Below are 19,423 nucleotides of genomic sequence, written 5' to 3'. Positions count from 1 at the left end.
CTATTGCCCAGGCTGGAGTGCAGTGGTGTGATCTTGGCTCACTGCAATCTCTGCCTCCCAGGTTCAAGTAATTCTCATACTTCAGCCTCCCAAGTAGCTGGGATTACAGGTGTGCACCACCATACCTAGCTAATTTTTGTATTTTTAGGAGAGACGGGTTTCACCATGCTGGCCAGGCTGGTCTCAAACTTCTGACCTCAGGTGATCTACCTGCCTCAGCCTCCCACAGTTCTGGGATTATAGGCATAAGCCACTGTGCCCAGCAAAGACCCTGTCTCTTAAAAAAAAAAAAAAACACACACACACACACACAGACACACACACGCATCGTACAGCTATACAAAAAATTTTCTTTTTTAATATCCTTGTTCTATAAGCTTTTCTCTATCTTTAAAATTTGTGTTTTTAAAACTTTTAGAACTTTTTTTGTTAAACTAAAACATAAATGTACACATTATACTAGGCCAAGTCGTCACTAGGTGATAGGAATTTTTCAGCTCCATTATGATCTTATGAGACCATCATTGTACAGGCAATCTGTTGTTGACTGAAATATCATTATGCGGTACATAAATTAAATATTCCAAGGTTGAGAACCACTGCTTTGTTGGACATAGGGCAGGAAGTTTCTAGCTTGAATTGGTAGTGGGGTGATGGAGGGGGGAAAAAATATAGGTCCATGAAAAGGACAAAAGAAAGAGTATTTCAGGCCAGACGCGGTGACTCATGCCTGTAATCCCGATACTTTGGAAGGCCGAGGCTGGTGGATCACTTGAGTTCAGGAGTTTGAGACCAGCCTGGCCAACATGATGAAACCCCATCTCTACATCTCTACTAAAAATACAAAAAAATTAGCCAGGCATGGTGGTTCCTGCCTGTAGTCCCAGCTACTCAGGAGGCTGAGGAAGGAGAATTGCTTGAACTGTGGAGGTAGAGGTTGCAGTGAGCTGAGATGGCACCATTGCACTCCAGCCTGGGAGACAGAGCAAGACTCTGTCTCAAAAAAAAAAAAAAAAAAAAAAAAAGAAAGAAAGAAAAAGAAAAAAAGGAGAGTATTTCAGCTACCTGTTCCGTTCCATCTAGATAAAGGTTCTCTGATCATGGCCTTTGTGGCCTAGGAAATTCCCTGGAATTGGGCTTTTTTTTCAAAACAGCCTCATTAAATGTAGAATGTAGGTAAGAAACACTCAACTAAAGAATAGACAGAACTCATGCTCTACCCTTACCTGACTGGCTATGGGGAGATGGGAAACGTCCTGGTACCCAGGTGTGCCCTGTGATTCTGAGGAGGAGCAAAGGAGCAAGAGTGAGAAACTCCCTATCGTACAATTTTTCTGCACCCAGAAGTTCAAAGTTGAAAATTGAAATCAAATGATCATCAATGATGAAAACCCTGGTTAAGCTAGGGGCATAGCATAAATTCTGAGTGCTCAGGCACTCAAAAATAAGTTATACATAATCAAGTTATATACAGACGTGATCTCTGCCTTCATAGGGATATTAATCAGACATTCAAATGGTCATATAAATATGATGGGTTGAAAGGTATACATAACATGGTACCTACCCCTAAAGAACCTGTGAGCTGGAGAGCAAGGTGCTTACTTGTGGAAGCATAGCTGGTAGCAGGACAGGTGCAGGTGAGTGGTTCAGATGCCAGGTGCCAGTGAATCAGAGACCACTTAGAGCTCAGTCTCATTGGTCTGGGGATGTTGCCAAGCAGGAAACAAGATTTGAACATAAACCTCCAGAAAACTGAATAGCCTTCCCAGGACTAAAGAGGGGAGCATGGTAGGCATAGTCAGGTGTGGGGGCTGCCTTGTTCAGGACAGTGGGCGGTGAGGACACAGGTGTGGCTAGAGTTGACAGTTACCTTAATTTGAACAAGCAAACTTTCTACTAGAAATAAATGGAACCGTGATGCTCCTATTGTTCTTGAAAAGATGGCACTTTAAACATTAATTAGAATAACATTATTCCCTTTCAAAAATGGAAGTAGTTTTATATGTTATTTATAGCCATATTATTTTAAAGAGAATTCTGAACACTGGGCATCTGTGGAAAATTAAAAAAAAATCAGATCATGTAAGCTCTTCTTTCAGGGTAGCACCAGCAGAAATCCTTATATAGAATAGAATGATATTTTGATAGAGTCTGTTACCACTTAGCAGTGTGAGTCTTAACTATGTGTAGAGGGTGTGGGAAATGATATCTTTTGATAGCTTCTTTAATCCCTTGCTCCTCTATCTGTAATTTTCAATCCATCAAGACAGCCCATGAATATCAAAAGTGTTCATCTAAAGCTATTAGAAAATTCAGATTACAACAATGAGTTGGAATACATTTTTCAAGAATTAGCCTGTTTAAAAGATTGTGTTCTATGAAAAGCTTGGGAAAAGTATCCCATCTCCAATCGTACTTTCCATTTTTGCCATTTTAGGCTAAGATGTTTACCAGGTCAGGATCATTCTATGTAGGACATGTGAACTTATAAAGTGCATGGATATTTGTAGAGTAAAGTGGATGAAGATGGGGGTAGGCAGTTGAAGATACAGATTAAGGGTTTTCTATGTTTCATTTTTTTAGGAAAAATTGTATTATCTAATTCCTAACGTATAAGAACTAACTATATATCATTTCTGAAATGGAGTTTTGGAAAGTAGTTAAAATGATGAGTTTGGACTTCCTTTCATTGCTTGTAATCCCTGGGATTTCACCTAGATATTTAGGTCAGGAAAATAGCATGATCATCTTGTCCATATCCGCAAGGATGAGTGTGCTGGCTGTCCTGGATAGATGTGCCATTTATTCTATCAAATATTTCTGAACCAAAGAGATAGAATAGCTCTCTTCCGGAGCCTGCTCTCATTTGCAATTGCCTTCAAGGTTAGAGTTTATGTAACCCACATCTCTTAGTACATGTAAAACAAATGCTTTCCCATTTTGTCCTCAGATGGAAAAGAGTTGATCATTGATTTCCTTAAAAGAACCCATGATATACTTAAAGACCATCATTACCCTGACTTCTTTTTCTTTGGTCTAATCCTATCTACTTTTTTAAAGTGCTCCTTCCCAACCCTTTAATTATTCCTGTTGTTACCCTGTGATCCCATTCTAGTTTCTTCTCATTCACCTTAAACCATGGTGCACTTAACTAGCCACAGTCTTGTTCTCTGTAATCAGGGCCTTCTTAGTATAGCTAAACACAAAGTAGAGCATAGCCCAGCGCTATACACAGCACATGTGAATGGAAATTGTCTGTTAGGTTATTGAGTGGTGGTCAATTTCAGTTGCTGAAAGAGTTGAGAAGAGCCTTAGGAGACTAGAGAAGTTGGAAGATGAGTGAAGTTTCTACCTTGGCACCACTATTTTGATGCCAGTTAGGTAGTTTCAGGGGCAAAGATGGAATTACTGGCTTAAAGTCATGCAGAAATGCCCTTTACCTGATGCTATGCCAGAGGAACTTGGCTCTGGACACAGGGTCCAGACACCAGCCTGATTTAAAGTAGCATGAAATAGGGGGTTAAGAAAAATAATTGTCCATCTCTGTAAGTATTGTGGAAGACATAAAGCATAAGAAGTGGTCTTTGCCTTCAGTAAGCTTGCAGTCGAGACGAGGAGACAATCATAGTGACAGTGGATGGAGTATCACAAGAGATCATATTAAAGGCCAGATGTCAATCATTGTTTTGTGTCTCAAGGATGCAGAGGCCTGGGGGACTGGAGGAGGCTGTGAGCTTTGCCATGAGGGTGAACCTGAGAGGGGCCGGGAGCCTGGGTGAAGTTGGCATCACCATAGTGGTAAAAAGAATGTCAGTGGGGTGCTGAGGAGATTGACTGGAGTAAAGTGCTGGTGTTTGGGAAGAGTCAGATGAATGTTTGGAAGATGTGGGGGGCTTACATGCAAGATCAAAGCATTTGGCAAAGTAGAGCAGGAAAACCTGTTGATGAAAGCATCGTCTTTACCATATTGATTTGGAAGAGGTAAGCAGGGGAGATCGGGCAGGGGAGCAACTAGAGAAAAAGAGCCCATTAGGAGGGATAATAGACCCCATGCTAATGATTTCCTGTAGTTGTTGACAAAAAATGGTGTTTGTGCCTTTGTTTTTTTATAAGGTCAGTTTATAGACACACATACAGCTATGGCTGGGGCTGTCTCTTGTGCCTGGAGTTTATAAAAGGCAAAGATACATGACCTTTTATGTATCTTGTCATCCATGTATGTATGGTCGTGTATCTGGAGACTAAAAAAGGGAAAGGAATAGTAGAGAATGTAGACGTTAATAAAACTTACCTTTGAGTCCAAAATTTAAATGTGTGGCCTAGTTTGAAATGTAATTCCCTGGGGTTAGCAAGGTCGTTCCTATTAAGAATAGCCAGCCATTCATTTCTTTCTTGTGCATATTTTCAGCCCTAATGCCTGATATTAAAGTAATCTGTGCAATGGTAGAAGACTTTAATACTTATTTTTCTGTTATGGGCCAAATCTTAGAAAGCAAAAAAAAAACTGAGTGAGAATATTTATTTCTGTATGATATCATTGTTTCTTGAGCTGTTTATAATTAATATTGTTTGGACACGAAGTTCTACAACAGGTTAAACAACAAGTTTACTGTGCAGTCAAAGATTTTATTAATAAATAGAGGTTTCAAAATGATTTCTTTCCAATCAGGGCTCTTTACTTAATATTGTAAATTCAAACTCTGAATTAAATACAAACTCTCAAATGCCTGGCTGTGGGGCCCGTTTTATCATCTGGTTGAGCTTGTAACTATCATCTTTCCCAGAAATGATAATTGATTTTGATGTGAATTTAGAAGTTAATGTGAAACACTCTTAAAATATGTTTTTTGAGGCTTAGTATTTGCTTTCAGAACAATGCATTAGCAAAAGATATTTCTGGTGGGAAGCTGCCCCCTCACATTATTGTTGATGAGTCTCTGCTCAGCTATTTTGAGCTCTGGGCTACAGTGGATGGTACTTTTGAGCTGCCGTGTGTGGTACTTTCAGCTACACTGCTCTGGGTTTCAGAGCAAAAATGGATTAACTCAGATCCCATACTGTAATGGAATTTTTGGTGGTTTGAGAAGACATTGTGTCATAGTCTACTTTTGTATTCTCTAGGAAGATAGGGTTTGATGAATAGACTAACATCTTGGATGAAATAAAACTTTAAAAAAATTTAGTTGGGGGACAGAGGCAGAAGATGGGAAGCATTTGGTATTCGCAGTGCTAATTGGGGTGAAGTGATTGAGAGTTCTGTACCCTGCGTTTGCTCCAGCCCAGCTCTAGCACATGACAGCCTAGGAAGGTGCAGGGATGGTGTAGTCAGGCAGAAAGGAACAGGACTTTCTTTTCTTTTCTTTTCTTTTCTTTTTTCTTAATTTTGACTTTTACTTTAGATTCAGTGGGTACATGTGCAGGTTTGCTACATGGGTGTATTGTGTGGTGCTGAGGCTTAGGGTATGATTGAAACCATCACCCAGGTAATAAGCATAGTACCCAATAGGTAGCTTTTCTACCTTTCCCTGCCTGCTTCCCCACCCTTGCATTCCCCAGTGTCCATTGTTCCCATCTTTATGTCCATATGTACCCACAGTTTAGCTCCCAATTATAAGTGAGAACATGCAGTATTTGGTTTTCTGTTTCTGCATTAGTTCACTTAGGATAAGGGACTCCAGCTACATCCATGTTGCTACGGAGGACATGATTTCATTCTCTTTTATGGCTGCATAGTATTCACCGTGTATATGTACCACATTTTCCTTATTCAATCTGCCATTGACAGGCACTTAGATGGATTCCGTGTCTTTACTGTTGTAAACAGGGCTGTGATGAACAGAAGAGTACACGTGTCTTTTGGTGGAACAATTTATTTTTCTTAGGCTATATCCCCAGTGATGGTATTGCTGGGTTGAATGGCAGTTCCATTTTTAGTTCTTTGAAAAGTCTCCAAACTGCTTTCCACAGTGACTTAACAAATTTACATTCCCACCAACAGTATATATATATATATATATATATATATATATATATATATATATGTGTGTGTGTGTGTGTGTGTGTGTGTGTGTGTGTGTGTGTGTGTGTGTGTGTGTGTGTGTGTGTTCCCTTTTCTCCACAGCCTTGGAGCATCTGTTTTTTTGTTTGTTTGTTGTTGTCTCTTTTTGACTTTTTAGTAATAGCCGTTTGGACTGATGTGATATGGTATCTTGTTGTGGTTTTGATTTGCATTTCTCTGATGATTAGTGATGTTGAGCATTTTTTCATATGTCTGTTGGCTTCTTGCATATCTTCTTTTAAGAAGACATGTTTTTTGGCCACTTTTTAATGGAGTTATTTGTTTTTTGCTTGTAGAATTAAATTCCTTATAGATTCTGTATAATAGACTTTTGTTGGATGCACAGTTTGCAAATATTTTCTCCCATTCTGTAGGTTGTCTGTTTACTCTGTTGATAGTTTGTTTTGCTGTGCAGAAGCTCTTTAGTTTAATTAGATCCCACTTGTCAATTTTTGTTTTTGTTGTAATTGCTTTTAAGGAGTTAGTCATAAATTCTTTGCCAAGGCCGATGTCCAGAAGGGTATTTCTTAGGTTTTCTTCCAGAATTTTTGTAGTTTTAGGTCTTACCCTTAAGCCTTTAATCTATCTTGAGTTAATTTTTGTATATGGTGATAGGTAGGGGTCTAGTTTCATTCTTCTGCATATGGATAGCCAGTTATCCCAGCACCGTTTATTGAATAGAGAGTCCTTTCCTCCATTGCTTATTTTTGTCTACTTTGTTGAAGATTAGCTGGTAGTAGGTATGTAACTTTATTTCTGGGTTCTCTATTCTGTTTCATTGGTCTATGTGTTTCTTTTTGTACCAGTACCATGCTCTTTTGGTTACTGTAGCCTTGTAGTATAGTTTGAAGTCAGATAATGTGATGCCGCTAGCTTTGTTCCTTTTGCTTAAGATTGCTTTGGTTATTCAGGCTCTTTTTTGGTTCCATATGAATTTTAGAATAGATTTTTATAATTCTATGAAAAATGATGTTGGTAGTTTCATAAGAATAGCATTGAATCTGTAGATTTCTTTGGGCAGTATAGCCATTTTAACAAGTTTGGTTCTTCCAATCCATGAGCATGGAATGTGTTTTTTGTTTGTTGCATCATCTATGATTTCTTTCAGCAGTGTTTCATTCTCCTTGTAGACATCTTGCACCTCTTTGGTTAGATGGATTCCTCGGTGTTTTTGTGTGTGTGGCTATTGTAAATGGGATTGAATTCTTGACTTGGCTCTCAGCTTGAACTTTCTTGGTGTGTAGAAATTATACTGGTTTTTGTATATTTATTTTGTACCTGAAACTTTATTGAAATCATGTGTCAGTTCTAGGAGCCTTTTGGTGGAGTCTTTAGGGTTTTCCAGGTATAGAATCATATCATCGGCAAAGAGAGACCGTTTGACGACTTTTTTTCCTATTTGGATGACTTTTCTTTCTTTCTCTTGCCTAATTGCTCTGGCTAGGACTTCCAGTTCTATGGAGTGGTGAGAGTTGGCATCCTTGTTTTGTTCCAGTTCTTAATGGAAATGCTTCCAGCTTTTGCCTGTTCAGTATGATATTGGCTGTGAGTTTGTCTTAGACAACTCTTATTATTTTGAAGTATGTGGAACAGGATTTTGGCCTAAGGGTAAATTAGTACATCTAGAGCACATGGCCCTCATCACTGGAAATGAGGAGGGTGTAAGACAGGTCCCAGAACTTTCATGGGGCAAATTCAGAAGGGCTCCTTCTTCCCTGAGAAGAGCTGACCACCTGGCAGCATGCTAGATGGGTTTTCCTAGAAAAGAGAAGAAAGGACCCACCCAAGGCTACTGGCACCCCAATTAAAATGCTCATGTTGCTCAAAACTGAATTGAAAACATTGATCATGTTTGCTTAGCATCCCCCTCTCTCTTACTGGTACAAATTGATTAAAACCTGTATGAGAGCAGTAGCACAAGAAAGAGATGTTCAGTCTACTGATATGGATGAAGAAAATGTCTTTGACATTTTGCCCCCAAAACCCACCATTGGGTAGAGTTTTAGGTATGACCCATTCTCTTAAATGTTTGGCAGTATGAACTAGTGAACAGGCAGATGGAGTGTTGCAGTGAATTTGTTGGAACATAAAATGTTACTACCGTTTTTAGAAGGTTGAAGAAATAGTTGCTACTGCAGCCCTGTTCATGCCATTAAAATACTGTTCTGTTTTCACCCTTGTTGGACACCCCCATACTTTGTTCCCCTCCTGTTCCATGGTATTTTTACTACATGGGCAGCTCCTGTTACTTTTTTTAAAAGATTTCAGCTTTTAAAATATGCCTGTTACTAATTTTGCAACTTTTATATAAAATTTCTTGGATGTACATGTTCTTCTTTAGTAGTTGATTGTATTCAGTGGTTTCTAGAGAATGAATTCCAGAGCATAGCATCCACAAGGCACAGGACTTTTTATAGCCAGGCTTTGGTGGTGGCAAAAAAGGGCAGGATTTAGTTGGCACCTTGAGTGGGGAATGTTTTAAATAATTGATCAGAAGAAAGCAATTAATCTCTTTCACTAGAAGCCCTATTTTTTAATGAAAGGAATCTATGCTTTTCCCTGGGCGTATGTTAACTGTCAGCTAACGACTAATGGAGCACCCAAAGTAAAAATCTAAATATACCCTACTGAAGTTTGACTTTACTAATTGAGATGTTTGTGATCATTTAGATGTGAAAGTTTTGCTTTGTACCACCAGTGAAGAGTATTTGCTAAGTTGTTAATATCAAACAGACCAAAATTTTGTTAAAAAAAAATAATGTTCACCTTTAGATATTTTTGGTTAAAAAGAGTAATGCCTTTGTCAGAGTATAATTTTCAAAAAGTATAGGACTCTTATACAAATCTGGAATGAGCATGTATCAAAGATTTATTCAACTTATTAATGACAGAACCAGCAGGATGTTAAAGTTGGTTCCAAGGAGAAATAAAGTTGGGTTGGCTGGGTGCCGTGGTTCATGCCTATATTCCCAACAGTTTGGGAGGCCAAGGCAGGAAGATCACTTGAGGCCGAGAGTTCAAGACCAGCCTGTGTAATATAGCAAGAAACCAGCCTGTGTATACAAAAAAATTAAAAATTAGCTGGGCCTGGTGGCACATGCCTATAGTCCTAAGCTACTTGGGAGGCTAGGGCAGGAGGTTTTCTTGCACCCAGGAGTTGAAGGCTGCAGTGAGTTATGATCATGCCACTGTACTCCATGCTGGGCAACAGAGCAAGACCTTGTCTAAAAAATATATATATATATAATATATAATATATAATATTAAAATAAAGGAGTGGGTTATAAAGGCATTCAAAAAGGAATGTCAGAATAAGATGGCTGGGCTAGATGTAAAACTGATTCATGGTTCAACACGATGATAAAACCAGACAGAAGTCATCTGCATCTCTACTGGACAAGAATAAAAAAGTTAACATTAACTTCTAAAGTCTGGGCCTTTCATCAATAGGAAAGGGCTTGTCCAACACCGATCTAGTCTCCCCGGATAATGAAATAATCCTTATGTGATCTGTGAAACAATGCCCCAGTATGACATTTAAAGAACATGCCTTCTTCCCTTTACCTTGTTTACAAGTTTTGGATAATTTTTCTTAACATTACTGTGATTAAAGGTGAACTTCTATTTATATGAGGAACCTAGAGGAGTTAAATTCATAGAGATAGAAAGTAGAATGGGGTTGCCCAGGGCTGGAGGAAGAGGGAATAGGGATTTTAATGGGTGCAGAGTTTCAGTTTTGCAAGATGAAAAGAGTTCTGTGGATGGATAGCAGTGATGGTTGCACAACAATGTGAATGTATCTAATGCCACTGACCTGTACACTTAAAAATGATTAAGATGGTAAATTTTTTGTTATATGCATTTTGTCACAATTAAAAATAAAATTACAAAATGGACTGACAAGTGGGTATATGAAGAAAAAATTAATAATTCTTTACCCTCCTGAGAGAACCAATTTAATGGTTCTGTTTATGTTAACTCACTTTACCTAGTTCATAAAAACATGACTTATCTAAAAATGGGATTTTTAAAATCGTTTACTCTGTGACATTTGTTCTTTTCACTGAACAATATATCACAGACAGATCAATGTCTGCAACGTAGAGGGCTGTCAATATCCACAATCCAGAGGGCTAAATTCATTCTTTTTAATACCAGCTCCATAGACTGGACATAGCATAATTTATTCAACTATTTTTCTACTAATGAAAGTTTAGATTGTTTCCTGTTGTTTTTCTTTTCCTGCCAATACAAATGTTGTTAAAAAAAATTGTTTTACTACAGCAGAGCCATGCTGAAGGCCAGGTTTTGAGTAGTGATAGCAAGAAGGCAGAGGAGGGAATGGATCAAAGAAACACCTCATTGGGCCAGGAGCAGTGTCTCACGTCTGTAATAACAGTACTTTGGGAGGCTGAGGTGGGCAGATCACCTGTGGTCAGGAGTTCAAGACCAGCCTGGCCAATGTGGTGAAACCCCATCTCTACTAAAAATACAAAAATTAGCCAGGCGTGGTGGCAGGGACCTGTAATCCCAGCTACTCGGGAGGCTGAGACAGGAGAATCGCTTGAACCCAGGAGGCAGAGGTTGCAGTGAGCTGAGATCATGCCACTGCACTCCAGCCTGGGCAACAAAGAGTGAAACTCCATCTCAAAAAAAAAAAAAAAAAGAAAAGAAAGAAAGAAAGAAAAAGAAACACCTCATTGGGGAAATGGGTTGGATTTGGGTCCAGTTGAAGATGTTGATGTTGGCTGGGCGTGGTGGCTGATACCTGTAATCCCAGCATTTTGGGAGGCCGAGTTGGGCAGATCACCTGAGGTTACGAGTTCAACACCAGCCTCACCAACATGGTGAAACCCCATCTCTACTAAAAATACAAAATTAGCCGGGTGTGGTGGCACATGCCTGTAATCCCAGCTACTTGGGAGGCTGAGGCAGGAGAATCGCTTGAACTGGAGAGGTGGAGGTTGTAGTGAGCCGAATTCATGCCATTGCACTCCACCCTGGACAGCAAGAGCGAAACTCCATCTCAAAAAAAAAAAAAACAACAGAAAATGTTGATGTTGATGTAAGAGTTGGAGAATGGATACAGCTACCATTTTGATGAGAAAGGGAATAGAAAAAGAACAGCAGAAGGTTTTATGGGGGATGGCAGAGCAACTGTGAGGAAAGGGTGTGTTTGGAAAATGCTGGGTTTGAGAGAGGCATGGCGGTCTGCCTGTGCCCAGCACACAGCTACAAATCAGGGTCTAAAGCTTGGGGAAGACATCACAGAGAGAGATCATTAATTTGATCATCCCTCGCATAAAGTTATAGTTGAGGTTGTGAGAGTGAATGAGATCTGTTCCCAGGGAGGCCTTACATCATAGAGGGAGGAGATGGCACCCATAGGAGTGACCTGCATTTAGGGGCCTGGCCACTGAGACTGAGAAGGAGTAGACAGAGGAGGAGAAACAGGAAAGTAAAGCCTGGGGAGGCAAGAGAGGGAAGAGTCTGAAATGATGTGACAGCTGGTCCATTTTCAGGAAATGTAATAATGTTAAGTATATTTTAGGTACTGGCATCATAGGCCCCCCTTCTCACTGCTTGTTGCATATGCCTTTAGGAACACCTGCCTCTGGGAGTCACATCAAACACTGGTTTCCTTGTATAAACCACCAGAAATAATGGTATGGTTTGTAAGCCACCTTGAGCACTACTTTAAGGAAAAAGCCAAATCAAATCATAATAAGGCACAGTTTGAATGTAGCTTGGCATCTCTCAGTAGTGTTAAGAATTCATTTTTTAAGGCTATGTTATGTTCACAGAAACTAGGACTTTATTAATAAAGGATACTATATGTCAATTTCACAAAACCATGTGATCTGGAAAAGGCTGCAGACAGGTGCCCTAAGAAAGCAGTAAATACAAATAATTTCTAAAACATTTAGAATTAGCTTTGAAACTATCTCAATCTATTTTTTGTGTATTGCCACCAGATTACCCTTTTGACACCACATCTTTGTATAACGACTCTGCATTTTTAAGCCATAGCTGACTGGAGGAGAGAATTTAGGGAATTACCAGTAGTCTGGATGCATTGTTGTGTCACTTCTCAGGGCTTTGAGAAATCCTAAGTTTGGAAAAATAACTGAGTCATCAGAACTTGATGTCACTGAGGAGTGAAATCAGTGGGAACCTGCCAAGTTTCAGGCAGGATTCAGTTTATTTCAAACATTGTGTTTCCTGTTTTATATTAGATACAATTAGGTTCCTGAAGAAGAATCAAAAGAAGACTCTCACCCCTCAAATACCTTGCCATCTTGTAGAAAAATAAGATCTGCACATAGACAGATATTGAAGAAAACACTCTAAGGTTCTGTGACCCGCTACCCCCAGACTGCCTATTGTTGCTGAAGGAATTTGCAATCAGAATGAGGCCAATCCACACGTGGGTTCCCCTGACCCACAGGACTCATCTGGGGAAGAAGAAGCAGGTGGGAGAACAGTGGGGGCAGAGGAGAGGTTGGCAGGTGAGAGGAGGCAGCAGGTGGTGAATGAGCTGTTTTCCAGATAATATGATCACAGGAGTATTTATAGGGTGGTCAGTTTCAGGCATGATGGACTCAGGCCATAATCTTGGGTTACTTAATTGTAAATTGCAAAGAAGAAGGTCATGGCTGTGGAGTGTTGATCTAAACAAAGACTGATGAATCCACAATGGAAAGTTTGTTTGTGGGTTTTGGATCACCTTGAACGTCTTCCGTAGCTTGTAGTTAGTGAAGAGTCCTGACTGAAGGTGGGGGAGTCGTGACTTTCATCAGAACCTTACTGAAGCCCTAGTTCATCTAGATGAATTAAGGAGTCATGGGAACTCAGCAGATGAACCCTGGGAGCATTCGAGCAGGTCCTTAGGAAAGCAATTTACTGATTGAACTCACCTTGTCCCCACCCCAACTGAATACCAAATAATCAAGAAGAATCCTGGATTCTTTGCCTAAGGAATTATAAATTGGAATCAGTTGACCTTGGGGATAGCAAGGTTAGGGTCAGAGATTTCCAGCTTTGGCTGTTGCTTCTCAGCCATTTGGCAGAGAGAGATCTTTACTGTCAGGGACTGCTTTAGGCTTTATTTGCAGACAAATTGTTGTGACCTACTCTGGTCTTGTCTGAACACGTAGACCAGGCCCAAGCTCCCACTGCCTGTTTGCACCATCTCCCTAATCCACAGCTGCACAGTCGGAAGGAGATGCCAAAATCCAGACACAATAAAGCATCCAAATAACAGGTCTTTCCTCTTTTGCCTGTTTGTTTTTTATCTCTCTATAATATATAAATAATTGGCTTATTCTATTTACTGCACAAAGAAAAAATGAAACATCTGAATTTTTCGTAGCAGTGGAAAGTAGTTCCAGAGTGTGAAAAAATACAGCTATCGGAAATTTCAGCTACTGCCTTTGGTATAATGGAAATTTATTACTCAACTCCTAACAATCTTGGCCCAAACCATGTGGTTGTGTGGGCAGGCAGTGGGCACCTTTCCTAAATAGCACACTGCCAGGGACACCTTTGCTCATATTTGAGACAGCCTGAATGAAGGGTATCTTTCTATCAAAGACTGTTTGATTATCTCAGAATTTTAGACATATCACAAAAGCTGTTGAGACCTAGCCAGTGGATTTTACTTGTATGAGATATTGCATAGCTCCCAAAGGGAGGGTCAGAGCCCAATAATAAATAGCTCTTTGTAGCCATCCCCTCCCTAGCCCCAAACCATTGAGATCACAGGGTGAGCAACCAGTCAGTATTCACTCAAAGGCAGTGCTGCCCGGCAGTGTGGCAGATAATGACCAGATGTGAACTTGTCTCTCTACAGTGTGTGGCTGTGACCTGGCACAAGGGGGCTTCTTCATAAAGAACGGAGAGTATCTCTGCACCCTGGACTACCAGCGGATGTACGGGACACGCTGCCATGGCTGTGGGGAGTTCGTGGAGGGCGAAGTGGTGACTGCTCTGGGCAAGACCTACCATCCCAATTGCTTTGCTTGTACTATCTGCAAGTAAGTGAGCCTATCTTTCCAAAGCCTACACCTTCCTCCAACAGAGAAATGCTGGTTTGGGCTGTTAAAGGTTGGATTATACACCTTTTGTCTTGAGTAGCACATACTCTTATCCTTAGATTTCTTTCTTACTGTACTATCAGTCCTAGTAAAAAAAGTAGATTAGTTGGAAACTGTATGTGTGATGTCCTCTACAAAGTAATATGACTGATTTTTAGTAGATTGAAACTAATTCTGAAAGCAGCTCTGGGTCTCAAAACATTTTGGAGCAATAAAAACATCAGGGGGAAATGGCATAACTGCTTAGAAGGATAAAGCTTATTTGGAAGTATAAATTCCTAGGCATGTGTGTGTGTTTAAAATGGTCTCTTTCATCTATAATAGGCGGTGGCAAACTGTGTCCCATGGGCTGAATTAGGCCTGATACCTGTTTTTGTGGATAAAGTTCTATTGGAACACAGCCACTCCCACTTGTGTGTGGCCTATAGCTGCTTCCACGCTGCAACAACAGAGTTGAGTCATTGCGACAGAGACCATATGGTCCGCAAAGTCTTAAAAAATTTACAATCTCATCTTTGGGGGGAAATATTTGCCAACCCTGTTCTCTATGTATCTGTCATCTACCAAGGTTGTATCTTAACTGTGCAAACCAGCTTGATTAAAATGATCAGTCAGGCTGGGCGTGGTGGCTCACCCTTATAATCCCAGCACTTTGGGAGGCCGAGGCAGGTACATCACCTGAGCTCAAGAGTTTGAGACCAGCCTGGCCAACATGGTGAAACCCTGTCTCTACTAAAAATACAAAAAAATTAGCCAGGCGAGGTGGCAGGTGCCTGTAATCTCAGCTGCTTGGGAGGCTGAGGCAGGAGAATGGCTTGAACCCGGGAGGCGGAGGTTGCAGTGAGCCGAGATCGTGCCACTGCACTCCAATCTGGGTGACACAGCAAGACTCCATCTCAAAAAAAATAAAATAAAATAAATAATAAAATGATCAGTCAGAGAACAAGAAAACTATGTGAAGTGTGAGTGGGAAAATGTGGGGCTTTTTGTGGTTTTTGTGTTTTGAGGTCTGCATGTTATAAAACTTAAGATAGGTTTGATTCCTGTAACTAGGAGACTCACCACCAAGGGTCAGCTGCTTTATTGATCAATTCTAATTTGGCAATTTTGCAATCCAGTGCCTTTTCAAGTGGAGATCTATTTGCTATGCCTTTCTAAAAACCCCAATTCAGAGGAGACGTGTTGTCTGTTTTTCAGCATTGTATGTTTCTAAGCCAGAGAGATGTAAGCTCTAGAAGGGAAGATTCAATATTGTGTAATTAATTAACAAGATAATACTGATAAATCATAATAAGACACAAAATATTCATAATAAAATTATTTAAATAACTTTATAGCTATGTATTAGCTCATTTCTCTATTTCATTTTTTTAAATCATAATTTAATAATTCTGGATGAATGAACTGAATATTTTTCTGTATTTAATCAAAAGCAAAGTTCTGCCCTGATTTTTCCCTTTTCAGGCTGTGGCACACAGCCTGGTTAAGAGTCCTGGGCTGGCATGGAGCCCCAAGTCCCAGTCTTACTTCCCAGGTTGAATTGAGACCTATGTGATTTAGCTTTTTCCAGACAATTGCCTCCACCTTAGAATGAGAAGCTGTGAACTAGATGCGAGTCATTTTTCAAGCCTCGCTCATCACTGGAATCTCCTGGATGGGTGGGAGTGGACTAGAGATGGGAGTCTCTCCACAAAGATCAATTTCTAGCCTATTTTCCCCCAAAACCTGCATGCTAATTTAGTAGTTTCTGGAGGGTTCTCATGTATGTTGTCAGTCAGCCAGGTTGGAAGGCCGTGTTCCCAGTAAACTCTAAGAGCCCTTCTGATCCTGACCCTGAGAGGTCATTGCTTTGAAGTTGGTATAATGATAAAAAACGATTTATTAACTATGGCCCTGTCCCTGGACATTTGAGCCAGCAAAGGAGCACTTACTGCTACTGCCTCTACTGCTGCCGAATGACGATAATTCTGTCTGAATTGGGGCCTCCTTTTTAGTTGAGAAGTTATATTCATACAGAAGTTAATTTCACCCTCTTAGCAATTCTTTGAAGGGAACCAGGAGTTAATATCTCTATTTATGAGTGACTTTGAGGCTCACGGTTTAAGGGACATTCCCAAGTTAACGTTAGAACTCAGGTTTTCTAACTCTAAATCCAGGTCTCTTTCTATTATAAACATTCATGCAAATAAAAGAAGGAAGTTATCCAGTATGGGCAGAGGATATAGGGAGGGAGGAAATTACTGAAAAGGGCCATTTACAAAACAACAAAACCCACCCTTCAGAAGGCCCAGCCCAAGTTGAGAACTGGATTCTGGCTTGTCCCATAGAGGATTCGTGTGGGACTTGGGTCTAAAATAATAAGCTTGGATGGGAAGGAAGGCTTGGGCTTGGGTGGGGTAAGCGAGGTGCCTCTGGGCATGCAACAGGTAAAGGGCACTTATTCTCAGGGTCCTGCAAGTGCAGGGTCAGCCACGGAGCACGAGTGCCTCTTTAAACGCTGTGTCTGGGTCCACTCCTGGCCTGGTCGGAGGCAAAAGAACCTGTGCGTGTTGTGTTGAATGGATCCTTAACTTCCTGACTCCCTCCTTACAGAACAGATTTAAGACTTGTTCAGGTTTAGCTAATGAGTGTGAAGCAGTAGGGCTACTGGCATCCAGCAGAGGGTGATTTTTGATTCTTAAAAATAAAACAAGTTCTAAGTTGGTGGATGCCATCTGCACCTGCCTATGGCTTGATCTCCCTAGCTGGTCAGTCCAGGCATGTCACTTCACCTCTCTGAGCCTTCACTGTACTGCCGAAAGTGACACAGCATCACAAGTGGAGAGGACACCACCTCTCCTCGGGACTTCTAAAATGTAAGGGTGTAAGAATTTAAAACTCTCTGTGATGACTGGAGCCAGCCACATTTGTGGGGTTAACTCCAAATTTACCTATATGTTGTTTATTACAGTTAATTGCCAATTGTTAGGCTACTGAGGGGCAACTTAAAGGGAATGTAGCAGCTGTGGAAGTAAAAATGAATGTCAAAAAGCTGGTACTTGCTCTTAAGTAATTGCTTCTAACTAAGATTTGTGGTGATGTTCAGCTTGTGAGTTTCACGTTTCCTAATTGGCAGCATCACACATTTGAAAAATCACTTTAATGAAGATTATTGGTACATAGGCCAAGGGCAAGTGAGTGGGCATGGAAACTGTCATATGTCTGTTCATTAATGACTTGTTTAAAGGGCTCTCTGCCTGGTGACCTGGGAGAAGAAACTGATTATCTACATGCAGAAGGCAATATTTTTGCAAAATGTGCTGCTATTGATGAATATCTACTATGAAGAGAAATTGTCTTTCTGAAAAGAAGCTAATATGAATTCTTAAACAGATATTTACAGCCTGTCCCATTTCTCCCAGTTTATAAGGGACTGGGTCTCCAGCACCATGAAACGTTCCGTTCACCCATGTAGGTGTCCAGCACAAAGTCTAATCCTGCATAATCATCACAGAGGTCTAGGCACGGTCCCAGGGAACTGAAAGACCCACTGCTTACTGCTTGACCTGTAGCCAGGTCTCCTGGGGCAGGGCCTTAAGCTTCACTGGGAATTCATGGTATTTAAAATATTTTTTCATGAAGGACTTTCCATTTGGAAACTTACTGTTCTGTGTGCCCTGCTAGATCACTTGCTGGAATATCCCTTCACTAATGAATGGAGGTAAATCATTCCATTTTACTACCTGGTTGCCCTTAGAACCAGTACATTCCCCTTTCTTCTCAAAATGAGGCACATTTATTTGTTTGGACTGTCTCCAGCTGGCTGGCTTGGTTATGACTGCATTTCAGACATGTTGGCTGCTGCTTCTCCAAGAAATAAATGGGCACCGGAGGGCAGCAAGCAGAAGGAATAAGGAAAAGGAATGAAATTGCTGCAATAACCTTGAGGGCGATGTCTTTCTGCCTCCAGGCGCCCGTTTCCACCCGGAGACCGAGTCACATTCAATGGGAGAGACTGCCTTTGTCAACTCTGTGCACAGCCGATGTCGTCCAGTCCGAAAGAAACCACCTTCTCCAGCAGTAAGTGCCCCGGTGACCCACTGACGTGAATACCTATGTAGTCCAGAGGTAGCTCAGGCAGGTGCCTTCCTTTTTGAGAAACGCTGTTAGCTGGAAATGAGAGTCATCTATCTACTTGAATAGATATTTCTCCAAAGATGACATTAAAATGGCCAACAGGTACATGAAAAGGTGCTCAATGTTATAAGTCATCAGGGAAATGCAAATCAAAACAACCATAAGATACCAACTTATACCTGTTAAGATAGCTATTATGAAAAAGACAGGAGATGACGAGCATCAGCCTAGGTGTGGAGAAAAGGGAGCCCTTGAACACTGTTGGTAGGAATGTAGATTCTTGACGTAGGCATCATGGAAAACAGCATGGAGGCTCCTAAAGAAATTAAAAATAGGCCAGGTGTGGTGGCTTATGCCTGTAATCCCAGCACTTTGGGAGGCTGAGGCGGGAGGATTGCTTGAGCCTCATTTAAAAACAGCTTGGGCAACATGACAAAATCCCGTCTCTACAAAAAATGCAAAAAGTAGCTGTGTATGATAGTGCACGTCTGTAGTCCCAACCACTTGGGAGGCTGAGATGGGAGGATAGCTTGAGCCTGGGAGGCGAAGGTTGAGGTTGCAGTGAGCTGAGATTGTACCACTGCACTCCAGCCTGTGTGACAAAGCTAGACCATCTCAAAAAAAAAAAAAAAAAAAAAAAAAACCCAGAAAAATAGAACTACCATGTGACCCAGAAATTCCTTTGCATACACAAAAATATCTAATATGTGAAAAAAATTAAAGTAGGAATAAAATTAAAGCAGAATAAAAGAGCTGCACTTATATGGGGCAGAGAAGACTTCTCTCAAATATGACACCTAAGGAGAGGTTTGAAGAAAGTGTGGGAAAAAGCTGCACATATATCTGGGGACTTGTCATTATTTACAAGGTCTTGTCTGACCTGTCAGAATCCATAGAGAACCTACTTACCCCCAAATAAAAAGAGTGGCCAATTGCACCATTTCTTCTGGAAAATAACATCGAGTAGGTCAGTTAACACACATTTGAAGTTGATGCATTATGAACTGTGGGCACCAAGCAAGGAAGCTCTACTCCCATCTCTTTCCTGGGACATTAGGAAGTGAACTAGAGGTTTGCCTTGGGTTCTGTGGCTTTTGCCAGTCCTTGGGAGATTTGGAATAAACCTCTTTAAGCCCTTAAGTGAGTCTTA

The 19,423-nt window shown here is 40.7% G+C and overlaps 1 protein-coding gene across 40 annotated transcripts in view; it reads left to right on the top strand.

The window, feature by feature from the left end:
- The window catches only part of ABLIM1 (actin binding LIM protein 1), a 370,264-nt gene that overhangs the window by 211,861 nt on the left and 138,980 nt on the right, over positions 1 to 19,423 (top strand). For all 40 annotated transcript variants that reach the window (XM_047425242.1, XM_047425238.1, XM_047425237.1 and 37 more), the window contains 2 exon segments: positions 13,914 to 14,097; positions 18,107 to 18,216. In XM_047425242.1, the coding sequence (XP_047281198.1) occupies positions 13,914 to 14,097; positions 18,107 to 18,216 (294 nt within the window).

The sequence above is a fragment of the Homo sapiens genome, chromosome 10 (genome assembly GCF_000001405.40).
Source record: "Homo sapiens chromosome 10, GRCh38.p14 Primary Assembly".
Lineage (NCBI taxonomy): Eukaryota > Metazoa > Chordata > Mammalia > Primates > Hominidae > Homo > Homo sapiens.
This window is presented reverse-complemented; position numbering and strand designations above follow the sequence as displayed.